General features: G+C 43.6%; 1 annotated feature.

Moving 5' to 3' along the window:
• Positions 4,461 to 5,001: an enhancer, noted in NCBI's record as "NANOG hESC enhancer chr10:29299789-29300329 (GRCh37/hg19 assembly coordinates)". NCBI's record gives its function as "activates a minimal SCP1, AML or CMV promoter by ChIP-STARR-seq in naive H9 embryonic stem cells {active_cell/tissue: H9 hESC(naive)}" and the evidence as "EXISTENCE:reporter gene assay evidence [ECO:0000049][PMID:30033119]".

The raw sequence follows: 6,000 nt of genomic DNA on the forward strand, positions 1-6,000 counted from the left end.
GATCGCGCCACTGCACTCCAGCCAGGGCAAAAGTGCAAGACCCTGTCTCAAAAATAAATACATAAATAAACAAAAATGAAAAGCCCCTTAGATGCTATTGATCATCACTCTTCCCCTCCCTTAGTTGGTAACCAGAGGTCTCAATGTAACTGGACAGGAATAAAGAGTGTCTCCAAGTGGTGTGTAATTAATATGTGATACTTGGGCCTCCCCTTCTGACACCTGGAGACATTTTCTCTTTTCTGGTCGACAGACTGCATACCTGTGCCAGTACCTTTGATAATATCAGTGATCTAAACTGTTTATTTATGGTTTGTGAAAAGTTAGAAAAGTATCTTGAAAAGAATTTTGGAGGAAAGAGAGTGAACATTAACTCTAATGATTTTCTTTTTTGTATCCTTGAAATTATATTGTGTTGTGTTTAAGCACTGAGGGTTTTGCTGGTCTTTGTGTCTCTCTTAGTATCTTGTAGAGTACCCAGCACATTTGTCAGAATTTGTGATGCGGTTTAAAGACTCAAAGCCAATGAGACCTGGTTATCTGTGGGGTGCTGCTGTGGCATGAATGTTTGTGTCTCTCCAAAATTTATGTTATAACATAATCCTGGCCAAGCACGATGGCTCACACCTGTAATTCCAGTGCTTTGGGAGGACGAGGTGGAAAGATTGCTTAAAGCCTGGAGTTCAAGGCCAGCCTGGGCAACATAGTGAGACCCCTGTCTGTACTAAAAATTTAAAAAATTAGCTGGGCATGGTGGTGTGTGCCTGTAGTCCCAGTTACTTGGGAGGCTGAGGTGGGAGGATCACTTGAGCCTGGGAGATTGAGTCTGCAGTGAGCTATGATTGTGCTACTGCACTCCAGCCTGGGCAACAGAGCGAGACCCCGTATCAAATAAAAAAAAAATTTAAAAAAAGAAAGAAAGGAAAAACCCACCAAATGCAATTGTGTTAGGAGATGGAGGTTTTAGGATTTGATCATGAGGGCTCTGTCCTCCTGAGTGGAATTAGTGCCCTCATAAAGCTCAAGGAAGCCTGTTGGGCCTTTTTGCTGTTTTGGTATAGGCTGACACAGCACTCATGTCTTCAGCCACCTGAGAGCTCGGCATGGAAGCAGAAGGCAAGCCCTTACCAGACACTGAACCTGCCAGTGCCTTGCTCTTGGACTTCCCAGCCTCCAGAACTGTGCAAAATAAATTTCTATTATTATAAATTATCCAGTCTAAGGTATTTTGTGAGGGCAGCGTGAACTAAGGCAAGCGCGTACGGTGCGAGGATTCAAGGGGCGAGGAGTGCGGTTAAATAACCTGGCTGCAGGAATCAGGAACAGAAATTTGAGCGGGCAGTTGCCCAAGGTAATGCAGGCCTGGGTGGTGGGGGATGGATGGAGGCCTCCCCGTGATACATTCCTCTGGATCGTTCTGCAGAGCAGCAGGAGGCCTCTAGAGAGCAGAAGCTTTTTCACGTTAGATGGACTTCAGCCAGTGGGGTGCTGGTAAATGTTTAACAACTGGGTCTCTGGGGAAGCATAGTCCTGGTTTGAAGCATTTGCTGATTTCCGTGGTATAAATACTCCCAGTGTGGAGTATTGCAAGCCCCCACTGTGAAGGAAGTCACTGAATGTGCAAGTGGAAAGAGATGCGTGCCATGGGCTCTAGTGAGTTGGTGTGAGCTGACCGCATCTTGTTTCTGTGCAATCTATTCATTTATTCTTTCATTCATGGCAGGACCACAAGTAGTTCTTGAGGCAGGAGCCAGTGGGGGCGGAATTTAGCATCCCATGGGAGGCCAGGAGCACAAAGCAGACAGTGTGTCCAAGCACCAGCCCCACACGCTGGAATCGGGGCTTGGCTTAGAGGCAGGAAGACATGGTGCTAAGTTGAAAAGCTGGGGCAAGTTTCAGTCATGACAGTGGGGGAGGAAGACTGATTGAGGGGCTGCAGTGGGGCCCAGCACTCTTCCCTGGCCAGTTTCAAAACTGATGTCATGATCTAGCAATTGATGTCCTTGAAGCTCTGGATGTCTGTTCTCCCCTGCTCAGACCTGGCTCAGATACAAACAAGGGTTATGAGGGAGAGAACAGCAGGGAGCCCGAAACCAGGGGCCAGGCAAGATAAGGACTTCAGTAAACACCCAGCACATGAATCTGATGTCTTCATTTACCCACAAATGAGGGAATGGAGTATTCCTATTATTACAATATTTCACCCTTATGAGGAGTTAGATTATCACCTAATTTATTCAACCAACAAATATTTTTAGATGAACAAGAGAGACAAGAGTTTGCTTTTGTGGAGGCTGCATTCTTGTGGAGGAGACAGATAACAGACCATTTATAATAGTACCAAATTGTTTCTGATCGAGACAAAGGCTAGGAAAGGCTGAGGGAGGGGTGGCAGATCTGGGACAGGAGATGTGTCCCTTTATACAAGGTGGTTGTGTTCTTTCTGAGGAGATATTGGGGCTGAGCAAGAACAATGAGAAGGGACCCATCATTCAAAGAGCGAGGGGCAGAGGCAGAAGACAAGGCAAGTGCCAAGGTTTTGAGGCAGGAAGAACAGGAAAGGAAGCCCAGCCTTTTTGGGGAGAAGACAGGAGGGTGGAAAGCCGAAGTGTGGTGAGAGAGAGGGTGGGACAAGATGAAGTCAGAGAGATGGTGAGCTCCTGATCTGTGGGGCCTTGAAGGTCAAATGAACAGTTTGAATTTGGTTCTAGGTGAAATGGAAAGTCCCCTAGGCAATGCCATTTTCCTGGTTCATGGACTCAGACTGGGAAAATGGCAATGCCTGGGAGGTCCACCCCATCCCCTGACTTACTGAATAAGAATATAAGAATCTGGTTTTTTGTTTGTTTGTTTGTTTTTCTTGTTTTTATTTTTTTTGAGACAGAGTCTTGCACTGTTGCCAGGCTGGAGTGCAAGGGCGTGCTTTTGGCTCACTGCAACCTCTGCCTCCTGGGTTCAAGCGATTCTCCTGCCTCAGCCTCCTGAATAGCTGGAACTACAGGCACGCACGACCACGCCAGCTAATTTTTGTATTTTTAGTAGAGATGGGGTTTCCCCATGTTGGCCAGGATGGTCTCCATCTCTTGACCTTGTGATCCGCCCGCCTTGGCCTCCCAAAGTGTTGAGATTACTGGCGTGAGTCACCGCACCTGGCCAATAATCTGTTTTAACCAGGTCCCTAGATGGTTCTCATGTACTGTAATGATCTGCTCAGGGTGTCATAACAAAATACCATAGACCGGGTGGCTCAGACAGCAGACATTTATCTTCTCACACTTCTGTAGGCTGGAACTTCAAGATAAGGGTGCTAGCATGGTCAGGGGCTGGGGAGGGCCCTCTCCCTGGCTTGGAGAAGTTCACCTTCTGACTGTGCCCTCACATGGCAGAGAGAGAGAGAGAGAGAGAGATTTCTCTCTCTTTTCCTCTTCTTATAAGGCCATAGTCTTATTGGATTAGGTCCCCACTCTTCTGACTTCATTTGACCTTAATTAGTTCCTAAAGACCTTGTCTCCAGATGTCCCCTTGGAGAATAGGGCTTACACATATCAATTTGGGAGTGGGAAACAATTCAGTCCTTAGCTTGTACATTGCTTTTGAGCAGCACTGATCTAATATTACTAATTCTCAAACTTCAGCGTGCATAAAAATCACCTGGAGGAATTGATGAAACCCAGAGTCTTGGGCCTTCGTGGATTCTTATTCGGTTGCTCTGAATCTGATTCAATAGTTTCACCCAAGGGTTTTCATTTCTAGGAAGCTTCTCGATGCTGATACTGCCAGTCCATGGGCCATACTTTGAGTAGCACCAAATTAGACAATAAATTTGGGTAACCAATTTTCAAAAAAGTAAAATATCATAAGATAATCTAAAGTTAATCTTTTAAAAAATTCAGCTGTTCTGAAGATGTTTCATATTTATAAAATTTTTAAGCATCATTTATTTTTAAATTATATGCAATCATGCTGCATAATGACATTTTGGTAATAGATAGATATGCTAGGGTGGTCCCATAAGATTATAACAGAGCTGAAAATTCCTATCCCCTAGTGATCATAGCTGTCATAATGTCAAAGTGCAATGCATTACTCGTGTGCTTGTGTGATGCTAAGGTTAATGTATTGCTGAAGAAAGAGAAATTTTTAAAAATACCCTTAGCGTAGCCTAAGTGTGCTGTGTTTATGAAATCTACAGTCATGTACAGGAATGTCCGAGGCCTTCACATTCACTCATTCACTGGCTCACCCAGAGTGACTTCCAGTCCTGCAACCTGCATTCATGTTTAAGTGTCCTATATAGGTGGACCATTATTTATCTTTTTTTATTTTTATTTTTTGAGATGGAGTTTCGCTCTTGTTGCCCAGGCTGGAGTGCAATGGTGTGATCTCGGCTCGCCGCAACCTCCGCCTCCCAGGTTCAAGCGATTCTCCTGCCTCTGCCTCCCGAGTAGCTGGGATTACAGGCATGCGCCACCACACCCGCTAATTTCCATTTTTTTTTTTTTTTTTAGTAGAGACGCGGTTTCTCCATGTTGGTCAGGCTGGTCTTGAACTCCTGACCTCATGTGATCTGCCCACCTCGGCCTCCCAAAATGCTGGGATTATAGGCGTGAGCCACCATGTCCAGTCTATTCATCTTTTTTCATACTTTTACTGCAACTTTTCTATGTTTAGAAATGCAAATACTTACCATTGTGTTCTAATTGCCTACAGTATTCAGTATAATCACCCGCTGTAAAGGTTTGTAGCCTGGTAACAATAGGCTACACCGTGTAGCCTAGGCGTGGAGTAGGCTGCGCCATCCAGGTTTACAGACGTGCACTTTATGATGTTCCCACAATGACAAAATCACCTAATGATGACGTTCTCAGAATGTGTCTGTCGTTAAGCAACACGTGTATATGTATTTAAATTTTTAATTTTAACTGATTTGTTGTTATTCTGGCTAAGTGGAATTTTACTTAGGTACTTTCCTTTGATCACCTGAAAGTGCTTTGCAAGCATTTTGTTAACCCTCAGATCTACTCCAGGGAGGATAGTAAATAAAAAATTAAATGTGGAGAATCGACAGTGTTTTGGGTCACAGGTTTCTAAAACTGGTAATCAAACCAAATAAAGGTGCTTATATGTCAGTCGTGGTTTCTCCTGGTAATCGGCAGCAGCTAACTTAGTTCAGTTCTTCAAACACTGCAAGTTGTGAAGTTTAGCAACAATGATTTACAAAAGCTGCATTGTTTTTATTATACCACCATTTTACCTAATTATTTCTGGTATAAACCCCAGTGGAAACAATGCATGTTTTGTTATAAAATTCCAGCCAGAAACTTTGGACCTCAGACAAGAAGGAAATTTTGGCAACGCTTCCAGGGTAAAACTCTGGTATGCAAATTCCTACATACATAAAATGAAGAATTAATGTAAAATGTCGTGCCAAGAGCACACTACTTAATATTTGCACATTTCCTATTAAAACTAACTTGCTTGGAGGATAACTGTTGTTTCTTTTTTCCCTATGATTAAAAAAATGTTATTTCAATCATTGTCAGATACAACTCATTTTGAAGTGTATCATTTCAAAATTCACCTAAAGAAATGTTTAAGAGGCCAGGTTCAGTGACTCACGTAATACCAGTACTTTGAGATGCTTGAGGCAGGCAGAGAGTTTGAGCCCAAGAATTCAAGACCAGCCTGGGCAGCAAGGTGAAACCCTGTCTCTACAAAAAATACAAAAATTAGCCCGACGTGGTGGCATGCTTGCAGTCCCAGCTACCTGTGAGACTGAGGCAGGAGGATTGCTTGAGCCCGGGAAGTTGAGGCTGCAGTGAGCCATGATCGTGCCACTGCTCTCCAGCCTGGGTGACTGATTGAGACCCTGCCTCAAAAATAAAATAAAATAAAAATAAATAAATAAATAAATAAATAAAAGAACTGTTTAGGAGCAAGGACAATGTATTTGCAGTTGGAAAAGACTGTTCCTTTAAACAAAAGTTCAATGCTATTAAA

This window comes from Homo sapiens, chromosome 10 (assembly GCF_000001405.40).
Source record: "Homo sapiens chromosome 10, GRCh38.p14 Primary Assembly".
Taxonomy (NCBI): domain Eukaryota; kingdom Metazoa; phylum Chordata; class Mammalia; order Primates; family Hominidae; genus Homo; species Homo sapiens.